This window comes from Homo sapiens, chromosome 12, assembly GCF_000001405.40.
Source record: "Homo sapiens chromosome 12, GRCh38.p14 Primary Assembly".
Taxonomy (NCBI): domain Eukaryota; kingdom Metazoa; phylum Chordata; class Mammalia; order Primates; family Hominidae; genus Homo; species Homo sapiens.
Genome location: NC_000012.12, coordinates 70,221,176 through 70,245,391, shown reverse-complemented (window position 1 = coordinate 70,245,391; position 24,216 = coordinate 70,221,176). Strand labels below are relative to the sequence as shown.

General features: G+C 38.1%; 1 protein-coding gene and 1 long non-coding RNA gene across 26 annotated transcripts in view, besides 5 other annotated features; one reads left to right on the top strand and one right to left on the bottom strand.

Moving 5' to 3' along the window:
- The window catches only part of CNOT2 (CCR4-NOT transcription complex subunit 2), a 111,976-nt gene extending 109,602 nt beyond the window's left edge, over positions 1–2,374 (bottom strand). For 12 of the 23 annotated variants that reach the window (NM_001414655.1, NM_001414660.1, NM_001414653.1 and 9 more), the window contains exon 1: positions 1,912–1,959. The gene's annotated coding sequence lies outside the window, so the exon portion shown is untranslated. Of the gene's footprint in view, positions 1–1,069; positions 1,652–1,911; positions 2,060–2,154 lie in introns of those variants that run through there. The other 11 variants (XM_047428882.1, XM_017019348.2, XM_024448986.2 and 8 more) reach the window with 4 other exon arrangements.
- Positions 1,230–1,369: an enhancer, noted in NCBI's record as "active region_6658". NCBI's record gives its function as "activates an Ori minimal core promoter by ATAC-STARR-seq in GM12878 lymphoblastoid cells {active_cell/tissue: GM12878}" and the evidence as "EXISTENCE:reporter gene assay evidence [ECO:0000049][PMID:35858748]".
- Positions 1,474–2,673: an enhancer, noted in NCBI's record as "CDK7 strongly-dependent group 2 enhancer chr12:70636499-70637698 (GRCh37/hg19 assembly coordinates)". NCBI's record gives its function as "activates an origin of replication core promoter dependent on BRD2, BRD4, P300/CBP, MED14 and CDK7 cofactors, with strong dependence on CDK7, by STARR-seq in HCT116 cells {active_cell/tissue: HCT116}" and the evidence as "EXISTENCE:reporter gene assay evidence [ECO:0000049][PMID:35650434]".
- Positions 1,670–1,929: a silencer, noted in NCBI's record as "silent region_4655". NCBI's record gives its function as "represses an Ori minimal core promoter by ATAC-STARR-seq in GM12878 lymphoblastoid cells {active_cell/tissue: GM12878}" and the evidence as "EXISTENCE:reporter gene assay evidence [ECO:0000049][PMID:35858748]".
- Positions 2,001–2,540: a silencer, noted in NCBI's record as "fragment chr12:70636632-70637171 (GRCh37/hg19 assembly coordinates)". NCBI's record gives its function as "represses an EF-1alpha promoter that drives an FKBP-Casp9 reporter gene in an ReSE screen in HepG2 liver carcinoma cells {active_cell/tissue: HepG2}" and the evidence as "EXISTENCE:reporter gene assay evidence [ECO:0000049][PMID:32094911]".
- On the top strand, positions 2,032–23,202 carry PRANCR (progenitor renewal associated non-coding RNA). Of its 3 annotated transcripts, none has more exons than NR_120460.1 (5): positions 2,032–2,080; positions 2,499–2,568; positions 3,163–3,211; positions 20,002–20,181; positions 23,015–23,202. It is a non-coding gene; the product is annotated as a progenitor renewal associated non-coding RNA (long non-coding RNA). The 3 variants fall into 3 exon arrangements; NR_120461.1 differs by lacking the exons at positions 3,163–3,211; positions 23,015–23,202 and adding exons at positions 2,188–2,326; positions 20,360–20,399 and having other exon boundaries at positions 2,499–2,595; NR_120459.1 differs by lacking the exons at positions 3,163–3,211; positions 20,002–20,181; positions 23,015–23,202 and having other exon boundaries at positions 2,032–2,326; positions 2,499–3,086.
- Positions 2,100–2,299: an enhancer, noted in NCBI's record as "active region_6657". NCBI's record gives its function as "activates an Ori minimal core promoter by ATAC-STARR-seq in GM12878 lymphoblastoid cells {active_cell/tissue: GM12878}" and the evidence as "EXISTENCE:reporter gene assay evidence [ECO:0000049][PMID:35858748]".
- Positions 23,203–24,216: the final 1,014 nt, after the last annotated feature.

Below are 24,216 nucleotides of genomic sequence, written 5' to 3'. Positions count from 1 at the left end.
AAAGTATTCACAAAAATTATTACAATTCAAGCTCTCAGAAAATATGAGAGAAAAGTACCTTTTTTACAGTAAGGATCTTACAAAGTCAAGAAATAAGTGAGTAGAGTGGAACATGTTTTGTCTTTAAGTGTATTTTGTATTTTTTTCTTTAGATTTAACATTATAATAGAACTACAAACTAAACAAATTCAACATACAGAGCTTACTAATTATCTTGGTCCATTATAAAACATTTCAATGAACTGGGATGTGAATATAGACACTTAACCATTTCAGCCAACTATGATTCTTAACCCTTTCAATCTGCAATAGTTACCTTACAAAATTGTGAGATTTATTCATTGACGTTTGGAAAGAACTGTTGTCAATTATGCCAAGCATTCCCAAACTCAACATCAACCTTGCATGTAAATGGATACTTTAAAATTTCTATCTCATCCCTCACCCCATACTTTATTCTTTCCATTTATATTGCTTCAAAAGGGAAATCAACAGTCACACTTATGATTCCGAGCTCTAAAAATTCCTAATATTAAGCATGACACTAAATATGTTCAACTTTGAACCTTAAATTCAAGTTGGCCTCCCTCGTGAACTGATTTTAACTGAGTACTTTTTACCATTTCGCCAAGAACTAAGGGTTCAAAGCAGTGTACTTAATTATGAGGAATTGCCCAAACGATTTTAAAAGGAGTGGGATTCTCTGACCAAGACTTTTATGAAAATGAAACAAAATATGTTGCACTCAGTCTTCCGGATGTTGAAAAGTGAAGATGTCTCCAAGGATTCGAAGGAAGTTGATGTTTAGGTTCCCTCTGAGAGGGTGGTACCCTTAATGTAAGACTTTTGTGGTAGTAATACCGTACCTACAGGCCTGGAATAAATATAAGGTCTAAAACCTTGGAAATACTTTGTATAAAAGAAAACTCCAATTCTCTTTTGCTAAGGACCACAGTTACCAAGAGTTATCAGCTTTCACCCGGACAGACAACAGTGCTTCAATGAAGAACTACAAAGGCCTCTTTTAACCCTACTCTTTTCTTCTGTTAAACTTTTAAGCGAGACCTACGACAGCAAAAGGTGGAGAGGCCCCTGCGGAAGTAGAAACCCAGGACTTGCAACTTCACAGACAGAAGCGTCTGTGGTTCCTCCGCCGCCCCAGGATCATCCGGACTCAGTCTACGACACTACGGAAGCTTCACCTTCCTGGTGCGGTGGCAGAGGCGGCATCGCAGTTGCATTCCTTCTCCCTCCACCATGCACAGCCTTCGGTATCCCAGGGCCTGCAGGATCCTGACACCCGTTAGCCAGTCCAGTGTCTCCCATCTGACACTTGCAAACACACTAACAGAAATACACATAACTGGCAGATGATATACGTGTATTGAGAGAAGGTAAGAAGCCACAGACAGCACCAGCTGCCGGGAAGGCGGCAGAGCCGTCTAAAGCGGGCTCGAGCTCGTCGGCCACGGCCACGGCCGCTGCCGCCTTCTCTTCTCCCCCAGGAAGCAGCGCGGCGGCAGCGGCTCCTCCGCGCTGGCGGGAGCCTAGGGGAGTGGAGTCTGGGGAAGCCCCACCACTCGCGGATGGGACCGGGCCTAGGATCTGGAGCTGCTGCTGCTGCAGCGGCCCGAGTACAGCGACGCTTTACGTCCGGTCCACCACCACCCCCATACACACCCCCTCCCTCCCTCCACCGCCGCCACCCCCCTCCCCGCCCGCTCCGCTCTCCGTCTCTCGATTGGAGCCGAGACAAAAGCAACGGGAAGCGGTGGGCCGGGACGCTACCGGCGGACCCTGGGCGCGACCGGACCGGCCCCGGGGCATTCCCCCGCCTTGCGGGGGCCCCGAATCTGCCGCCCCCGCCGCGCGCCCCGCTGCCAGACTTCCGAAAATTTACCAAAAACTCACCGCATGAATTTTCTTGTCCCGCGGATCCAAGATGGCGACGTATCCACCGCGGAGGCTGCTGGGAGCAAGACCTTTACCCTCTGACCGCCGCCGTGACCCCCGTCGCTCCGGCTTCCCTCCAGGCGGCAGCGGAAGGTGGGAGCGACGACTGCAAAACGGCAGCGATGGGGTGGGTAGGCAGGCCGCTTTCAGCGCGCTTCTAACAAGGTGGAGAGAGGCGCTTCACTTCCCTACCGCCCTTACCGCCGCTCCGTCTTGTCTCCCACCGACTCACAGGGAGGCTTGCTGCTCCTCCGCGGCCGTTACAGAGAGCGGGGCTTCTGCGGCCGCTACCGTTTCCCTGGGGCTAGGTTGCTTCGCAGAAGGCTCTGGCCCTGAGTCCGAGGGGGACTGCGGGGTCCAGGGGCGATGAATGGTGAGGTGGCTTCAGTCCGCCCTCCCCGGGGACGCTGAGCGTGTTCGTGTTCGTGTTTGTGTTTGTGTTTGTGTTGGACACCCCCGCCCCCGCACGTCCGCCTCGTCACTCCTCCCCTCCTCACTCCCGCCACCTGGAGCGAATCTGATCGTGTCCCTGTTTCCTCCCTCAGCTCCCGCAACCTCCGGAGCTTGTGCGCGTACTTCAGGGACCGGCACCACGTCACCGTCACCTCCTGAGTAGTGAGTTCCCCTCTGATGAAACCACTGGTGTGTTTACTCACCATCCCCACCATTTTTTTTTCCCCAACCTGATGGAAGGAAGTACATAATGGAGAGCAAGTTTTTAAAGCACGGTCGTGTCGTGTGAACTTGCTCTAGCCAAATTAGGTTTATAGCACTTTTTTTGGCTCTCATTACCTCCAGTCCCCACATAAACAAGAGTGACCAGCTGGGTCATCCGCAAGACCGTTTGAAATTATTGTGGCTTGGGTGGAAACTTAAAGGAGTGAAGTATCTGCTTTCCAGAAAAATCGTTGTCATTCAAAGTGAAATTAAACTTGTTTTCTTTGCAATAATTCGCCTTTATTTCCTTGTATATCTGTAAACTCTTCACTTTTTTGTAATTACTAGACAATTCGGACTTAAAAAGAGCCTCAGCATGTGTATTTTGGAATTGTGTAGCTTCATAATGTGAAAATTATTCTTTTCTATTTGAGTAAAGTACAGTTAATTTGAAGTAAATAAAATTTCTATTTCCATTGGTTGTTTCTTTTAAAAAGTCACCTTTTACTTACAAAAGAATCACTGTAATCCAGTTTACATTTATCATTGAAGGTCAAAAGCAAGAAATAGGAAGAAACACAAGCATACTATAAAATAAAAGGTAACTGTCATGTTTTTGAAGGTAAGGTGTTTTGACATATCAGCAGACATTGTGTGAATTTATTTCAACTCCTAGTGGTACTGGTGTAGGTAGAAAATGTTTTGCTTGGTTATTCATTTCATCAAACACTCTACTTCACTGTTTTTTTTTCACTTCAGGAAAATTCGAGGAGGAACAACACATACTAGTGTCTTTCCTTTCTTTCTCCCCGTCTTCTGCAAATAGTCCCTTCCTCTTCCTGCTTTCTCCTCCTTCTCATGTTAACATCTTCAACCATAAGATGGTGTGTTAAAAGATTGAATATACCTCTATGGAATGACTTCCAGAGGGTGTAAGTCTGATATGAGAGTTTTATTACCTTGAGTATTTTACTGGAAGAGATAGAACAACAAACATTTTCATAATAAATGTGTGGGTTAGGAGTGTTAGGAGAAAATACACTGATACTATTACTTTCAATATTTGATACTACTTACTTTGACTCTCACTGAACACCTATTTGTTTAGGATGAATTCACTTTAAGCCGGGTTGAAGAACAAGCCTTTAATTGTCCTATTATTTGTGCCAAATCTATTATAAATTTGTTAAAAAATTTTTAATACCTACCTTAGAGGGTACTCTAGGTATTTAATGAGCTAGCATTTGTTAAAGGCTTGTATAGTAAGAATTCTTATAGTAAGAGTTCTTACCAATAGATGGTATATTTTTTAAATTGTCCTGTTGCATCAAAAAGTTCATCTTTATTGGTAATGTTGATTAAGTTTGCCCATTTGGTAGTTTGGTTTCTTTTAACTATCTTACTAGATTTTCTTACTTTTACCTGAAAAGTAGTCCTTACTAATAGGCACATGTTTTGTATATTTCCAAAATATGTATTATGTTAAATTCTCTGTACACTTTATTTAAAAATTACAGACGTTGAGGGAAAAAAAATACCCTATTAAGGGAAGAATGAGTTTGTGTATAACTTGTAGAAGAAGGAGGCCACCCATTTTTAGAAAAATATGGATGGTATTGAAAATTTTGCCATGGCAAGGGATAAAAAGGACAGGCTTCTCTAATGTGTCTGAAACAACATTTGAATCCCCTTTGTTCATTCCCTAAATCTGCTGCTCCTTTAGAATTCCTGATTTTCATAAATAGTACCACCATTCACTTATTTGCTCAGGCATAAAACTTGGAATTTTCTGATTCTTCACACTCATACAACTCATCAGACAGTACCATCAGTTCTTCCTGACAAATACATTCTGAATTTAGCTACTTATCACTTCCACTGGTACAACCCTTGGGAGCCACCATCATCTGTTGCTGGACCACAGCAATAACCACACTAGTTGCTATCACTTTCTATCTGTACCCTCATGAATATTTTCCCATTTAAACCATTCTCTATATACCAACCAAAGCAATCACTTAAAAAATGTTATTAGGTTATGTCACTCCCTTGTTTAAAACCCTCCAATAGCTTCCTTATGCACACAGAATGAAATCGGAATTCCTTACCATAGCCTTCAAGACTGCATAATCTGGCTCCTGCCCACTTCTCCATCTTCCCAGGAAGCAGCACAGGAAGTTGTTCTCACCCTTCTTACTGCCTCCTTTCTGTCGTGGGCTGTGCTTTTTCTAGTCTGTAGCAGAGTCTGTTAGTTGTCCCCAAAAATTCCTCCATTTTTTTCATAGTAATAGACATGGATACATGGCTACCCAGAACAAAGACTATATTTTGCAGCCTTCCTTGTAGCCATGTAATAGTGCTGGCTGATGGGATGTAAGCAGTATATCATGTGGCACACTTGTAAAACCATCCTTAAAAGATAGTTGGTGCACACCTTCAATGCGGCTTTTCCTTTATCCTGTACCGTGGAATATAGATGTGATGGCTTAGAACTGTAGCTGCCAATTTGTGCCTCATGCAAGTTCTCTCATTCTAGGGATGGCAAAACTAAACTGGTGGAAACCAGGGTCTGTGAGAACTTTATGGATCAGAGCACCATGCTAGCCCTGCAGTCGTAAATGTCTATATTATTAAAGCCACTATTTTGGAGTCTCTTGTTCTCAACTGAATTTAATCTTACCTGATACTCTGTCTCAGGGCCTTTGCACTTGCTTTTTATTTTTTATTTATTTATTTTTTTTCTGCCTGGGATGTGGTCTTCTGTCTTGGATATGGCTGACTCATTCTCTTCCTTCAGGTTAACCCAAATATCTCTGACAGGCCTTCCCTGGCCACCGTATCTAAAATAGCTCACGTTCCCATTTATTCTCTGTCAATCACGTGCCCCTCTATTTTCTTAATAGCATTTATAATTTATCATTATCTTGTTTATTCACTGTTTATTTTCTACCTCCCTTCACCCTACAAAAATATAAACTACACCTGTTTTTTTCCACTACTTTATCCTTCACACATGGTAGGCATTAGATAAATGCTGTTAAATTAGTGAGTGAATGAATCAACAAAATTCTTATCCAAGATTAGCTAGACTTTTTAAATAATAAATGAGTAAATGTCAACAGATATCCTTAACACAAAATTTGTAAAATCCAATCTAGGAAACAGGAAAAACAGTACTAAACTAATAGGATATTCCTGACCTCCAACTTAATAAAGAAGATGTCTACCTTTTTCTGGGAAATCTGTAAGGCTAGTACAAGTTAAAAAAAAAAAGACTGCACTGCAGTATATCCAGGGCTAAAATTCACACTAAAAGGGGTCTGAATTATAATTTACTAGACCTCAGTTTCTTCATCTTAAATATGTGTAAGCTTTGAATGGTAATACTATAACAGTTAAAAGTTTAATAGTAAGCCCAACTTATGAGTGACAAAACATGTTAAACATTAATTTAGTCTTCAGGCACTATTTTAACAAGTGGTTATTTCTTGATAATACTGGCAAGGATTCAGAGAAACAGGGCTGCTTATATTGCTGAGAGTGTATGTTGGCAGCACTTTTCTAGAGTGCAGTTTGGCAATATGTATCAAAAGCCTTGAGCCATGTGCATTTGACCCAGCGATTCTTTTAGAAATGTGTCATAAGCAGGCTGGGTGCAGTGGCTCATGCCTGTAATCCCAGCACTTTGGGAGGCCAAGGCGGGTGGATCACCTGAGGCCAGGAGTTTGAGACCAGCCTGGCCAACATGGTGAAACCCCGTCTCTACTAAATACAAACAAATTAGCTAGGTGTGGTGGTGCACGCCTGTAGTCCCAGCTACTTGGAGGCTGAGGCAGGAGAATCGCTTGAACCCGGAAGGCGGAGGTTGCGGTGAGCTGAGATCATGCCACTGCACTCCAGCTTGGGTGACAGAGCAAGACTCTGTCCAAAAGAAAAGGCCAGGCACGGTGGCTCAGAGAGCCACCTGTAATGCCAGCACTTTGGGAGTCTGAGGTGGGGTTGGATCACCTGAGGGCACAAGTTGAAGACCAGCCTGGCCAACATGGTGAGACCCCATCTCTACTAAAAATACAAAAATTAGCTGGGCATGCTGGCGGGTGCCTGTAGTTTCAGCTATTGGGAAGGCTGAGATGGGAGAATCACTTGAGCCCAGGAGGCAGAGGTTGTAGTGAGCCGAGATTGTGCCACTGCATTCCAGCCTAGGTGACAGAGCGAGACTCCGTCTCAAAAAAAAAAAAAAAAAAGAGAAATGTATTATAAGCAAATAAGGGTGTGTTTAACAAGTTAATTGCAAGAGTATTCTTTACTGCATCATTTATTAGGAGATTGGTTAAGCAACATCCATACAGTGAACAGTATTCAGCCATTTGAAATGATGTGGAGGAAATTTTATTGACATGATACATTGTTAAGAGCAAAAGAAAAAGTTTTAAAATACAAATGTTTAATTTGTAAGTCTCACAAACATCATCTAACGAAATATACACGAGGTGTTAAGTCAGCCTTGCAAACGTAACTATTTTTTCATTATTTTTATATCAGTTACTGTTATTGGAGCATTTTATATTGACTGAGGATCTTTATTAAAACTTCTTCAGCCTTCTGTGAAATCTTGTTATGATGGCTATAGTGACACTATATAAAACACATAACCAGAATATGTTTATGCTCAAATATTTCAAGCAATATTTGATGCTTAAAATACCAAAGTGACAATGAAAATGAAAGAAATTTGGATAGTTCCTTAGAGTTATTTGTTTGTGTTTCAGATATGAACATAAAGTATGTTTTTAATATTACCAGTTTTGAGAATAATAGAATAAATGCCTTCTCACCTTAATAAGATGTTCTGTTCTGACTCAGTATTCATTTGCCATTTATTTTTCAAATGTAGCTGAAATCTCAGTCATGTTCCAGGCACTATGTTTTGTCTCTGAGAGAGGAAAAACCAAACTTTTTCCCTGTTCTCAAATACTACTCAATACAATACTTCTGCAACAAGATGGGGTGGGATAGCGGTCCCCCCTCACCCCCGCCCACATCAAACCATCAATTTTCTAGCAGACATCAGCTGGGTGTCTCAATTCTATTCAGTTCTGACACTATCTACCTGGAGGCAGCATCAGATCGAACAGATTGAGGGCTCGGTTCTGCAAGACTGCCCCCACCACTTCCAGTACCAGCCACAAGTAGTAGGTTGTCACCGATACTCCTGACCAAGCTGTAAATCAGGATTCCCATGATCCCTTCCTCAGGTTCAATTAGTTCACTAGAGTGGCTCACAGAAGTCGGAGAAACACTTTACTAGCATTTACCCATTTATTATAAAGGATATTACAAAGCATACAGGTGAACAGCTGGATGGAAGAGGAATCTGCACACCTTTTCTCCCATACCTTGCCCTATGTATAGGTAGGGAGAAGAGGTGTGGCAATTCCATGCCTTCTCCAGGCAGGCCAGCTTCCAGGAACCTCCTAGTGTTCAGCTATCAGGAAGCTCTCTGAACCCTGCCTGTCCTTTTGGGCTTTTATGGATACTTCATTATGTAGGCATGATTGATTACATTATTGGTCACTGGTGAGCAAATAACCTTTAACCCCCTCTCCCCTCCCTGGAGGTGAGGAGCCAGGTTAAAGTTCCAACTCCCTAATCACATGGTTGGCTTCCCTGGCAACCAGCTCCCATCCTGAGGCTACCCAGGAGCCCATCAAGAGTTACCTCATTAGAACAAAAGATTCTCCTATCGTCCAGGAAATTCCAAGGGGCTTAGGAGCTCTGTCAGGAACCAAGGGTCAAAGACTGAATAGAATAAGATTCTCCTAGTGCCCTTTATCTAGAAGTTTTAGGACCTCTGGGCTAGGAAACAGAGACGAAAACTAAAACGTGCATACAGAAGATAGATCTATATATATAATATTATAAATCACATCACCTTGTCATTTAGTTCTCAAGAAAACTATGTGATGTCAGAATAATAGTATAATTTTTTCCATTTTCTTGTATGCTACATGTATGTAGCAGATATCATTTAAATTGGTGAACCACATTTCCCCCCCTTTAAATATCCTTGTCCATATATTGAATCTCTCTAATACTCATCACCTTTGGAATTGATCATGGCAGTATTAAAGGCACTTCTATTCTGAACTGAACATTAAAGATGCTATTACCCCTCCAGTGCTTTTGTGGGTCACTATCATCTATAAAAAATATCCTAAAAGGAGAAGCCAAATAAATGAGGTAATCAGTGGAAAGAATATAAGATCCTTGGAATCTAAAAAATGGCTGTAACCAATCAGCATAATAAAACCTCTAACAATAGAAAAATAGTTAACCACTTAGTTTAGCATCTGCTAAATGGCAAGCACCATAATTACATGATTTCACTCAATCTGTGTAACATTTCTGTGTGATAGGTGGTATTTGCATTTTACAGATGAGGAAATGGAGGCTTTAAGAGAGGTTGCTAGATATATCTAGAAAACCCCATTGTCTCAGCCCAAAATCTCCTTAAGCTGATAGGCAACTTGCGCAAAGTCTCAGGATACAAGATCAATGTGCAAAAATCACAAGCATTCTTATACACCAATAACAGAGAGCCAAATCATGAGTGAACTCCCATTCACAATTGCTTCAAAGAGAATAAAATACCTAGGAATCCAACTTACAAGGGATGTGAAGGACCTCTTCAAGGAGAACTACAAACCACTGCTCAATGAAATAAAAGAGGATACAAACAAATGGAAGAACATTCCATGCTCATACGTAGGAAGAATCAATATCGTGAAAATGGCCATACTGCCCAAGGTAACTTATAGATTCAGTGCCATCCCCATCAAGCTACCAATGACTTTCTTCACAGAATTGGAAAAAACTACTTTAAAGTTCATATGGAACCAAAAAAAGAGCCCACATCGCCAAGTCAATCCTAAGCCAAAAGAACAAAGCTGGAGGCATCAAGCTACCTGACTTCAAACTATGCTACAAGGCTACAGTAACCAAAACAGCATGGTACTGGTACCAAAACAGAGATGTAGACCAATGGAACAGAACAGAGCCCTCAGAAATAATGCTGCATATCTACAACCATCTGATCTTTGACAAACCTGACAAAAACAAGCAATGGGGAAAGGATTCCCTATTTAATAAATGGTGCTGGGAAAACTGGCTAGCCATATGTTGAAAGCTGAAACTGGATCACTTCCTTACACCTTATACAAAAATTAATTCAAGATAGATTAAAGACTTAAACGTTAGACCTAAAACCATAAAAACCCTAGAAGAAAACCGAGGCAATACTATTCAGGACATAGGCATGGGCAAGGACTTCATGTCTAAAACACCAAAAGCAATGGCAACAAAAGCCAAAATTGACAAATGGGATCTAATTAAAGAGCTTCTGCACAGCAAAAGAAACTACCATCAGAGTGAAAAGGCAACCGACAGAATAGGAGAAAATCTACTGCAATCTACTCATCTGACAAAGGGCTACAATGAACTACAATGTAGATCCAGAATCTACAATGAACTCAAACAAATTTACAAGAAAAAAACAACCCCATCAAAAAGTGGGCAAAGGATATGAACAGACACTTCTCAAAAGAAGACATTTATGCAGCCAAAAGACACGTGAAAAAATGCTTATCATCACTGGCCATCAGAGAAATGCAAATCAAAACCACAATGAGATACCATCTCATACCAGTTAGAATGGTGATCATTAAAAAGTCAGGAAACAACAGGTGCTGGAGAGGATGTGGAGAAATAGGAACACTTTTACACTGTTGGTGGGACTGTAAACTAGTTCAACCATTGTGGAAGTCAGTGTGGCGATTCCTCAGGGATCTAGAACTAGAAATACCATTTGAGCCAGCCATCCCATTACTGGGTATATACCCAAAGTATTATAAATCATGCTGCTGTAAAGACACATGCACACGTATGTTTATTGCGGTACTATTCACGATAGCAAAGACTTGGAACCAACCCAAATGTCCAACCATGATAGACTGGATTAAGAAAATGTGGCACATATACACCATGGAATACTATGTAGCCATAAAAAAGGATGAGTTCATGTCCTTTGTAGGGATATGGATGAAACTGGAAGCCATCATTCTCAGCAAACTATCGCAAGGACAAAAATCCAGACACTGCATGTTCTCACTCATAGGTGGGAATTGAACAATGAGAACACATGGACACAGGAAGGGTAACATCACACTCTGGGGACTGTTGTGGGGTGGGGGGAGGGGGGAGGGATAGCATTAGGAGATATACCTAATGTTACATGATGAGTTAATGGGTGCAGCACACCAACATGGCACATGTATACATATGTAACTAACCTGCACGTTGTGCACATGTACCCTAAGACTTAAAGTATAATTTAAAAAAAAACGAGGCTGCTTTAGATTACAAAGATTATAAAGAGAGAGGATTGGAATTCAGGTTTTGTAACTACAGAACCTATTCTTTCTTTTTTAAATGTATGTAATTTTTAAAATGTTGTGTGTAATATTTTTGTATATCCGTTTTCTTGGGAGAGGATCCATAGATGTCACAAGATTCTCGAAGGGGTCCTTACTGAAAAAAAAAATGTCTAAGAACCACTAAAACTCCCTACTATGAATTTAGTGCACTTAATAATGGGGAAGAAAGTAACTCTGACATAGTTTGGCCACAGAATATATTTTTTAATTGTTACTAATCAATCAAATGAATAAATATGGAGAACCTAGGTAGATGCTTAAAATTCTGATTCAACTAACTATTGAATTGCTATTATGCACTGGCCTCACAGATTATACACTACTGTTTCTCAGTCTTGAGTACTATAGGAGCACCTTTTATGAATTTTTGTGGATACCCAGTGTGATAAACTATTTTTCTTATAAAGTTACCCTAATATGTACAAATAGAAAACTAGGAGTAAACTTAGGTTTTTAGCTCTATTTTAACTATTAAACTAGAAAAAAATTAGGAATGAAATAAAACTAAAATATTTTAAGTTAACATTAATGTGTAAGTTTTTTGTTAAGCCTAAATCATCACTGGAAATAGAGCACAGATTTATTTGAATTTGAGATACCTATGTTGCTATGTGATAACTCAATTTTCCTAACAGTTTTCTCTTACGATTTTTTTGAAACCTTTATACCAGAAGCAAGCAATTACAGTATTTGACCTTTACCTGGCATAAATGGATCATTAATTAACTTACTCTTTACTGTAGTCCAGGGCAATTTTAAGTTAGATAGTCTGGCTCCAACTCCATTATAAGCAAACAAAAACATGGGCACTCAAGTCGAAGTATTTATTTATATAATGGTGTTTTTTTAATCCAAAACAGAGTTATGTTAACTTTTAGATTACCTTTGAAATAAAGCTACAAAACTAAAGATTTTTTGTGAGAACTCACAAATACTAAAGAATATGTTAGTGGGCCACTAGGGATTTAAGAAGCAAGATTATGAGCGTAAGGGTTTTGAATAGCTAAGATCTGCAATTTTATCTAACCGAAACACATGCAAGCTTCAGTGCCCTTTGAAAAAAATGCAGTATTTTAAAAATTACTTCTACAAACCTCAGTTTTGCTGCCTAAAATTCGAGCATAAAAATATGACTATGCCTTTCAGGATTGTCATAAAAATTTTATCGGATGGGCCAGGCGCGGTGGCTCACGCCTGTAATCTCAGCACTTTGGGAGGTCGGGGCGAGCAGATCACGAGGTCAGGAGATCGAGACCATCCTGGCTAATACGGTGAAACCCCATCTCTACTAAAAATACAAAAAACTTAGCCCGGCGTGGTGGTGGGCGCCTGTAGTCCCAGCTACTCGAGGCTAAGGCAGGAGAATGGCATGAACCCGGGAGGTGGAGCTTGCGGTGAGCCGAGATTGCGCCACTGCACTCCAGCATGGATGACAGAGCGAGACTCCATCTCAAAAAAAAAAAAAAATTTCATCAGACGACATATGCAAATGCTTAGTATAGTGTATGGAATGAACCAACCACTCAAATAGTTGCGATGATGATGATAATAGTTTTATGTGGAAAACCACACGTAATCTAAGAATTTTTAATAAAATTACTAATGAGGCACCTGAAAAGGAAAATGCAAGAAAATAATAGACTATATAGACAGCCATGTAAAAAAACAACAACAGAAATATAAATGTGCTAGCTAGTTGAGTTAAATATTTTCTGTTGAGAACTAAAATCAGGTAAGGTGGGGACGTAAAACATATCCCTAAATGATTACATTTTATAGCGTCAACTAGTGATCATGTTTTATTTTCCTGCCATAAAAATATGTTTTTAAGTCACTTTAAAAAATAAACATGTTAACTAATCTTGAGTTTATGTAATGGCATCCCTTTCACAATTACTAAGAGGGTTTTAAAAGACGCACCACTTTTTAAAGACATTGTTTAGAAGAAGATAGTTACCAGATATTTACAACAGTTCTTAAACAACCTTACATTTTTAATATGATGTCCAACTCTGAAGTAGTTAGAATTGATAGTGTTAATTAAGATTTTTAAAAACACTGCCTAATGTAGAGGTAAACACCATATTTTATAAAACACTTATTGTACTTCCTCAGTAAGAGTAAGATTAGTTTCCATTAGATTCTAGATTATAAAAGTTGCTACAGCTGCCATAACTTTGGTGAAGGTGATTCTGGAGGAATATTATCCCAAAACCTCTTCTTTTCCTTCTAATGAAGCAGCCTGCAATTAGGAAACAACTCTTCATAAGCATAACCCATATAAGCGAGCATGTAATAGTTAAATGGCAAAATCCAGAGAAACAGCCAATTGATCTTTTACAAACTCAGCAGCTGCCACTGAAGAAACAGGTGATAATGTAGCACAAAAAGATACCGTAAAACACAGGACTTCTAAATACTTAGTAAGGAAGACCTTTTTGAAAGCCTTATCCTGAAAACATCTCTTCTTGCTAAAAGCTAGGGAATCTTAGAATCTTATTAAAAACAACACCACTTACAATAGAGCAGAGGGAAGAGAAAATCTGTTTTGAATGAACCAACAACAACAGACATATTTATTATACTTTTTTTTAATTTATAAGAAAAAAAGATTTAATTGGATCACAGTTCTGCAGGCTGTACAGGAAGCATGGTACCAGAATCTGCCTGACTTCTAATGAGGGCTTCAGGAAGCTTACAATCATGGTGGAAGGTGAAGGGTGAGCAGGCATCTCAACATGGTGGAGTGGGAGCAAAAGAGAGCTATTACACTTCTTTAATTAAGTTAAAGAATTTACTTGGCTTTGCCTAGTTCCTTATAGAAACAAAAATTACAAAAAGGGAATGAAGGAGGGAGAGAGGAAGGAAAAAGGAAGGAAGAAAAAAAGGAAAAGGGAAAGGAAAAAGGAAAGGAAAAAGTAAAAGGAAAGGAAGGTTCTAAACTAGATTCCTCAGTACACTAGTTCCATAAGATACTGGTAAGTATTCTGTTAAAAAGCAAAGGATTTCATTGTAATGCTCTGAATTAAGAGGTTTCATTATTGCCAAATTTGTTTGTTACTTTTTTTTCTTCTTCTTTTTTTTTTTTTCCCCGTATGTTTTTGAGACAGGGTCTCACTCTGTCACCCAGGCTAGAGTACAGTGTGGCGCAATCAGAGCTCACTGCAGTCTCCAACTCCTGGGCTCAAGTGATCCACTCACCTCAGCCTTCAGAGCAGATGGGACTAGAGGCATGCATCACCACATCCAGCTAACTTTTAATAATTTTTTTGTAGAGACAAGGTCTCCCTATATTGCCCAGGCTGTTCTCAAACTCCTGGGTTTGAGACTCCTCCCACCTTGGCCTCCCAAAGTACTGAGATTACAGGTGTGAGCCACTGTGCCCAGCCCATTGGTATGTTAAGGTGTTAATATATGTGTACCTAAGTACCTTAGTTCTTTTTTATTGAAGATTTTAATTAATATCTTACAAAACCACAAGCTATCTAACTACATTTGATGGAGATACTGTACTTGAAAGGCTGAATTTTGGGTTCCTGTACATAGGGATTGAGAATTCTCTACCACAGCTTTGTTATAAGAAATTGACACAAGGCCAGGCGTGGCTGCTCACGCCTCTAATCCCAGCACGTAGGGAGGCCTAGGCAGGAGGATCACTTGAGTGCAGGAGTTTGAGACCAGCCTGGGCAATCTAGTGAGACCTCCTCTCTGAAAAAGTTGACACATGATGTGAATTGGGTATCACAGAAGATGTTTTTAACAGGACCAAATAAGATATTTCTCTTACCCTTTTAGGACTGAGGTTTTGCCAATACATTAGGCAAGGACTGGCTAACACTTGATATCATAATACTATAGGTACAACAGAATCTTTCTTTTTTGTTGATGCATTTATAATATAATATTGAGTGGGAGTTTTCCCATTGCCCCGTAATTATGATTATGCCCCAAAACTGAGAATAAAATTATTAAATACTTCACATTCTAAGTTAAAATAACTGAATAATCCCATAGTATTAGCCAAGTAGTGTCACAAGCATACCTATCACCACCACCACTACCTCACCACCACCACTCCTACTCACCCTTCATTAAAAAAATGGTAGGCCTGAGAGAAAATAAGGAGGCCTTTTGGAGAATCAGTTTGTGGACAGGACTGTTCCCAATATATAATTGGAGTCGGGGTTGCATGAAGAGAATTATATCCAAAGATTGGGATTACCAAAATAAGAGGCATATTTCTTTTCTCTGTTGGGTGTTTGCTGGGACAGAGGACTTGCTGAGCTCCTGGAGCTATATGAGTAGAGGAAAGAGAATTTGCAAGAGATGATAGACTAACAGAGGCCAGGACAGCAAGAAAGTGGTCTTCATGCCCATCATTTAGTGTGTCAAGAATAACGGAGATTCCCATGGATGGTATGAACACCAGGGAAAGTAGGTGAGCTTCAGCCATTTTGTCAGTATGCGCGCTGACCTCAGCAAGAGGGAATCTCTGCAGCAAGAGAAATTAAAGTGGTTCAGTAAACTGGATCCAGATGACCAACATCAGGAAACTACATAATGGGAAGCCCCTGCAGGCTCCCTCAAAGAAGCCTCATTATAGATCTAGCTTTTGGATACTGTCACACAGAGGTTATCAAAATCCAGTTAATGAGGACTGCATCCTTACCCAGTCAAGTAAGAAAATAATCGCCCTTTTCTCTGTACTTGGGGTCGGGGGAGAGTAGAGGGGAATAGTGTAAAGAGCTTTGAATTGAGCTGGAGATTGAAGCTTTAAAGTTAACAACATGATTCTTTAATATATTGTGATTGTTCTAATAACTTTAAATAACTGAAAAATCAGAGAATCTATGTAGGATATAATTAAAGGAGTCATCCCTCTTTTTTTCTATTTGATTTTAAAACTTAAGTAAAGCCAGGGCTGGGCGTGGTGGCTCATGCCTGTAATCCCAGCACTTTGGGAGGCCGAGGCGGGCAGATCACCTGAGATCAGAAGTTCGAGACCAGCCTGGCCAACATGGTGAAACCCCGTCTCTACTAAAAAAGTACAAAAATTAGCCTTGTGTGGTGATAGGTGCCTGTAATCTCAGCTACTCAGGAGGCTGAGGCAGGAGAATCGCTTGAACCAGGGAGTTGGAGGTTGCAGTGAGCCGAGATTGCGCCCCTGCACTCCAGGTGACAAGAGCAAGACTCCATCTAAAAAAAAAAAACAAACAAAAAAAACCTTAAGCCAATGCTAAAGTGGTAGTTCAGACTCAGTTGCTCTCTAATCCTACTTTTCTGTTTAAAATCTGGACTGGCTGACAATATCCAGATTGAATGATTTTGCTGCCTATGGGTAACAATATCAGGATTGAATGACATAGCTGCCTGTCTTTGTAATGGGTAGCAAATGCAAAAAGAAGCAGGACTTTTAGTAAACCAGATAGATATTTAATAACATGTATGCTTACATTATATAGTTCATTTCAAAATGTGCTTTCAGTCTTTATCAACTTCTTTGGTGAACTTTATAAAGTTCTGCAATTGAAAACATTCTGGGCAGAATTTTAAAGATATCTACAATTAACAGTTTGAGTGAAGATTCTGGTGTTCAGACAGAGCAGACTAGGTAAGCAACATCCTTTGCAGAATGTTATTCTTAAAAATCTTGCTCCTCTTTGCATTTGCCACCCATTACAAAGACAGACAGCTATGTCATTCAATCCAGATATTGTCACTCAGTCTTATATTTTAAACAGAAAAGTGGGATGAAAGAGCAACTGAGTCTGAACTACTGCTTTACTTTTAGCATTCACCTTGCTGAAGTTTTAAAATTAAACAGAATTTCACAGAATTTTAGATCAGTATCTTCACTTCTAATCAATTAAATGAATATAATTTAACCCCAGAAAAAAACAGAGTAAATCTAAAACTTGTATTTAATATGATTGAAGATTTAATCTTCCAGGTGAATATTGAATTTCATTGATATTTGGTGCAATAACATCTAGCATGTATCTAGTCAAGCCTTTTAACCATCGCAGTCTATATGGTGTGAAGCATGAAGAACTGTTCTTCGTTTGTTTGTTTTATTGGTGAGGGAATAATACAAGTGATTGCTTTCCAACTTCAGATCTGGATACAAACAATTAGATCATTCTTTTATATGAAGGACAACATGGGTCCATGCAAATTCCCAGTGCATTCATGCTGGTATTTACTGTGTACCAGGCACTCATCCAAATACAGGGAAAGTAGAGCAGTAAGGAAGGCAGATAAGGTTCCTGTTTTTATGGAGGAGATAAACAATAAATATTCAATATAATATGCAGTGATTAGAACTATCAAGGAAATAACAGCTAGAGAATGATAAGGGGATGGTGTGCTCTTTTAGATAAAGTCAGTGAAGACATCTCTGAGCAGGTAACAGAAGCAAAAGATCTGCAGGAAATGAGGTTGCATCAAGTGCATGTTGATGTACATATGATTTAGGTGTCAGACTATGAATTTAATATTTCTTAAGGACAGTATTTTTTGTATATTCTGAACAACCCCATCCGAGAAATACAATTAACTTGCCTTTACAAAAAAATAGCATATTGTTATGTACAGTAATATCTTCATAAAATCTGGTTGTTGCTTCTGGTCTTACTCATTTCATTTTGATTCAACAGATCTTTATTGAGTAATTGCTGTACTTCAAGGCTTTATTCTAGGTTTTTGCTATATACCATTGAATAAAATAATGAACCCTGGCTACCTGGAGATTGCATTCTAGCAGGAAAATGCAGACAATAAGCAATAAACATAATAAATTATATACTGTGTTAGAAGGTGATTTGTGCTGTAATGGGGTATGTAGGCCAGAGAAAGGGAGGTACTAATTACTTGGAGAAGAACAGCTTCCATTAGTAAGTATGCTAGCAGAGTGGCCCTCAATTAGGTTAGACCTGAGCAAACAACAGGGACCTGAGGGAGTTAGCCAAGTGCCTGTCTGAGAAAACAGCTCTCCTTGACTCATACATATCTACATACGCTTTTGCCTCCAAGAAAGTTACTATCTTTTTTCCAACTCTTACTATTTTTTTAGCAAAAAAAAAATAGAGTAGCTATGATACACCATCACTGTATATAATTTACTTGAATACGTGATTTTATTTTTTATTTACATAGGTAGCCACTACTATACACACATGCACACATACATATATACATATATGATTTATATATATGACATATATATGATTTTAAATTTTTATCATCTGAAAGTGTGAAGAACTACCTTTTTTTTTTTTTTTTTTTTTTTGAGATGGAGTCTTGCTTCGTCACCCAGTCTGGAGTGCAGTGGCGCGATCTCAGCTCACTGCAACCTCCATCTCCCGGGTTCAAGCGATTCTCCTGCCTCAACCTCCCCCAGTAGCTGGAATTACAGGCGTGCGCCACCATGCTCAGCTAATTTTTTTGTATTTTTAGTAGAGACGGAGTTTCACCTTGTTGGCCAGACTGCTCTTGAGCTCTTGACCTCTAGTGATCCGCCCACCTTAGCCTCCCAAAGTGCTGGGATTACATGCGTGAGCCACCACACCCAGCCAAGAACTACTATTTTTAAAGGCACTGAAAAATAACTTATGATTAGAAAACATATATTTTTATATACTGGCATGTGTAGGTCACACTACAAATATACTTTATGCTTTCCAGTTAAAAGGTAATGGTGTTCTTGAAGATATGTTAGAAATCCAAAATAATAATTTAAGATAAGTTGGAAGACATGGTAGATTACTCACTGCATGCTATAAATTGAGTGCAGAGCTAACAAGTGTGGTATGTTGGTATGTGTAGTTAGAAAAATTGACTTTTATGAGTTTATTCAATAAAATTAGAATACTTTCAATTCTTTTATTTTTGCTTCATTCCATCTGCCTTCCAGATATCACTGACTTTATTACAAAGGTGTTTAAAGTTAACATTATTAATCTACATATACTTGTTATTCTGCAGAGTAAAATCTTCTAATCTTTATGTTTCTAAAAGCATGACTTTTAAAAAAAGTAACCACACAGTTACAACCAGGCATCTAGGTATTGTAACTGTATTTCCTTTCCATTTTCAAATTGTGTTCTGTTTTTATTTTTGAATCAATGTTAAATAACAGGTAACTGTTTGTAACTTTAGATACAATATTTTACTAAAAAGATCATAAATGTTCCATAAGCTTATATACTTTTTGTACTTCTTTTACTAACCTGGAAGTAATAGATTTGATTTGCTTTAAAAAATAACTTTTTTTCTTCATAAAACCCTTCCTTTCAAATCCTGTCTACAGTGTCTCCTTCTGTCTTCTGAATTTACTTTCGTATTACCTATGTGACACTTATTAGTTTGGTGCAAAAGGAATTGCAGTTTTTGCAATTACTTTTTTAATGGCAAAAACCAACCTAATAGTATGTGTTGTCTTGTGTCTGTTTTAGCTTCCAAAAATAGACCATACATTTTCCAAGGACAAAGATCCAATTCTTATCAGTTAGCATAATGATTGTTTCCCAAAGTAATTCTTCCACTATACTTGTAAAACTCAAAGTTATATTTTATCTAGATATCTACCTATCTATATCTAAATATAGATATAGTATAGTATACAAAATTATGCTATACTAAAATTGAAATCTTTTTAAAATTGAAAGGGTTTATTTAGTCTACCTCCTTGAGATAGAGAAAAAAAGGCTTTCCATCATCCCTCCTCTGTCTTTGGTGGTTAAGGTTCTATTACCTGAAAAATTGTGTAGCCAAAGCGCCAATAACCAGCTTGTACGTATAAAAAGTTGATCCTAAGTAGTACTATATAGAAATAAATTTAAACCTAAAATGTTTTTGTTTTATATTGACACCAAAATATTTTGCTTTTATATCTGTACAGTCTGAAAATTCAAAAGAGAAGCAATTTAAAGGACTTCCATTTACTTCTTTCCCCTCTAATCTGCACAAAAGGTTAAATGTAGCAGTGCAGCAGTTCTGGCCATCAAAATATGATTATTGTACTTTAAAAGCAGCCATGAGAACTCTGCTCTTTGATAGACTTCAACTTGCAACAACTAAGGTAACATATTATCTGGTTCTACCCAAAAATACATATCCTCATCCTACTTATCTTAGATCATGTGTAAGATTCAGTTATGTTTAAGCTGTCCTTCGGAAAAACTCACAGGTTAATCTTTAGCACCCACTCTCTACTCACTTTAGGTCCTTATCCCTGATGACTACTTTATTTCTTGCAGGAATAATCCAGTTCCAGAGGAGATTAGGAGTTGGGTGAGAGGATAGACTCTAATCTTAGAGAAATAAGGTATTGTACAAGTTATCAAGGCCTAGCAATCCAACTACTTTGACCAGAATTATTACAGAAAGTTGGAAAAAGATTAACTTGATGCAGAGTTATCTGAGCTGTGGACACTGCGCTTCTTCAGTTTTTCCTAACAAGTTTGAACAGGTCAGTGTTGTCACTTGTTAGGAAAAACTAACCATGATTGAAGTGTCACCTTTGGGCAGAGCTGAAATTTACTTGTTTGATACATGATCTTCTCAAAGTCCAGTGATCGCTACTTTGAAAAGGATACCAAGCAGTTAATCTAATAATATAACCAAACATGGTGCCCTGTGCTACTTACTGCACAGGTTGCATGCCTATGAAGCAGATCCTCTAAATAAGAAGTGCAAGCAAATAATGAAAATCTTAAAAGTCTATTACTTTAACTAACAGAACTTCTAGTTTTGTCTCCTATGAGAACTCTTAAGAGTATGTATGCTTATTAAGGTTTTACTTGGAAAATTATTTGATATCGTAATCATAAAGAGTTATTAGCTGTTTTCTCCTAATGCAAGTTAAAATGTATAGCTATGTTAAAAATTCATATATTAGTCCTAGTTAAACCATATTTTTAATATTTTTCTAAATAACAAAAATTCAGACTCTCTAAGGAGAAAAAATTATCAGTTTTTGGTCTTATTTTCTATGTGAATGGCATCAGGTTGAAGTTATCATAGTTTTAGTAGAACATTATTTTGGCCTCACTAATAAAAAAAAATATGCTTTACTGAGGGAACCCAGTGTTATGCCAAGGACTTGCTTCATTGTCCTGATCATTAATAATCATTAGACAAAGAACTAGGGAAAAAACACCACATTTCACATTTGTCAGACAAGCTTATGACTTTAAAACCTAAAAAGTATAGCAACTAAATTGCAGTGTGGTTAATCGAGCTTATTCAGTTTACATATTGTTATAATGTGGAAAGTGGAATTTGACCAAGAACCTTTCAACCCAATCTATTATAACAGATTTAATTGCCCTTCTGTCCTTAAAAACTTTATGACAGTTAAGAAAGCTAAGCTAAAGTTTTTTTAAATTTCTGATTTTGACTTTTAGGTTAGCTACCTAACTAGTGGATGAAATTGATAAATAGGCATGATGATTTTCACTGTGACAGTTTGTTGTGAAATAAATTTAAAATGCAGAACTTAAGTTTCAGCCTTCCTAAATTGCTCCCTTGGACTTTACAACTTACTGTTGCCCTTGAGAAACTGGATCGCTGAATGAAATCTCTTTTCACACTACCTTCTCTCTAGCAATCCACTGTTTAACAGATGGAGATACCCTAACCCTTGCCTCAGAGGGCTTCAACCCTAGAGAGAGTGAGGCAGGCAATAGAAAAATCACAAGTAAAATTTTGGTATGTTAGATGTGGTTAGGTACTATGGGAGAAAGATAAAGCAAAGAAGGAATGTAAGGAGTCTGGGTAGAGGTAGGAGCATGGAGGATTATAATACTAAATCCGATAAAAAGAAAGTCTGAAAAGACAACTACATAGAAACCTGGAGGAAGAAAAGTACAAGCCATTGAATATCCAGGGAGGAGCATTTCAGGCAAAGGGAGCTGCACATGCAAAACCCCAGTGTGTTCAAGGTCCAGCATGAAGACCAATGAGGCTGGAAAGTAGTGTGCAAAGTGGAAGCTCACTAGGAGACGAAGTAAAAGATGTAATGAGGTGAGAGTAGAAGGAGTCCAATGAAGAAGAGTAGAGAGTTCCAATCATAAGTCACTCTAAGCTATTTTGGTAATTTTGATTTTTACTCTAAGTGAAATAAGCCTTTGGAGGACTTGAAGTAGAGAGGTGACATGATCTATTTTATTAAGAAGAGCTAACTGAATTGGGGCAAGAAGCAGAAGCAGGAGGAAGGCCAGGTAGGATACTATAGGAATATTCCAGGTAAAAGGAGATAATGACTTGAAACAGAGCAGTAACAGAGGTGGTGGTGAGAAGCAGTCAGCTTCTGAATGTAGAATAAAGAGCCATTAAATCCATTTAGCTTATCATTGACTGAAGTACTGTTTTTATAATTATTTGTGATATATACTTTCATAGTAAAATGTTTGAAAATATAGGTAGGTGAAAAAGTAAAAATCACTCAGAACCTCACTCTAAACATTTGATGGATAGTCTTTCACTTTTTCTAAATGTATGTGTGTATGTAGCTTATATTTATTCAAATGTGATCATACAAAAATCATTTTATTACCCATTATATGTATTTTTATATATTGTGATAATTTCCTATTTCTTTAAATATTTTCTCACACCATAGTATTAGTGGCTGAATAATGTAGTTTGGATATAGCATAATTTAGCCATTTTATAGATAGAACAGTTTATTTATCCAGTATTCTATTGTTGGCCATTTATACATTTTCCAGTTTTTCTGTATTATAAATACCACTTAAATGAACATCTGCATTGCTATATCTTTGAAAATGTGGTCACTGTATTACTTAGGAATCTCTGCCTATTTAAACAATTTTTTTCATCATATTTATTTTTTCATTGTGTTTATTTTTAATCAAAGAATTACTTTTTTCTTTTTTTTATTATTTCAGTAGTTTTTATGGAACAGGTGGTGTTTGGTTATGTGGATAGGTTTTTTGGAATACTACTCAGCCATAAAACGGAACAAAATAATGGAATTCCCAGCAACCTGGATGGAGTCGGAGACCATTATTCTAAGTGAAGTAACTCAGTGAGAACAAATATCGTATGTTCTCACTTATAAGTGGGAGCTCTTAAAAGTGGGAGCTAAGCTATGAGGACACAAAGGAGTAAGAATGATACAATGGACTTTGGGGACTAGTGGGGAAGGGTGGGGGCTGGATGAAGGATAAAAGTCTACACATTGGGTACAGTGTACATTGGGTTTTTTCCCATCTATAACCGTAGAAAGAAAAGATTATATCAGATGCATATTGATAGATTTTAAAGGGTGCCAAAAATATTTGAATATGAACTATATATAAATTCCTACTGAAGACTAAATAAACATTCATGTATTTTGGAATTTGTTTTCTATTTCTGATAGACTTAGTTATTACCAGGAACAGATGACCAGTTGCAAGAACTGTCACTATTTTAACATTCTCCATCAGCTGTGGCCATGTTGGATTTCTGGCACCTGAGCATTCACATCCATCTGTTTATAGGGCATTATGCCCACTCATGAGGTTTATTCCAGTTTCAAAAAGTCATGTGTAAACCAAGATTGGAAATATATATTCCTTGAGGTATAAATAATCTATTATTTGAACTTTTTGAATTATGTTTTTAGAAAGAACTTTAGCCACTTACCAATTTGAGATAACTTTCAATTAGGCATATATGGAAAGCAACATTATCAGCAAAATTTTAACTTTACTAACTAATAAATAGAATAATAGACTTCTTCAACATGAGAAAGTTGAAATTAGGAAAATGCTATAACATATCCTTGAAAAATATTTTGAAACCAACATTTATTTGATAACTGCTGTGTGTGAGGTGCTTTTGTATAATTTGTGCATATAATTGTCATAATCTGTGAAATAGATATTATCCTTACTTTGCAAGCAAAGAAACTAAGAGAAGTGATTTACTTAGTATCACAAGTAGGAAGTGACAAAGATAATTTCAAGCCCAGTTCTTTCTGACTTCAAAGCCCATACTCTTTTAACCATACTGTGCTGCTTAAGAGATTGGGATCCAAGCATTAGAGCAGTTTGACACATCTGTAATGTTGATTGTAAGCAGTTATAGTAGTTAAAATGTAAAC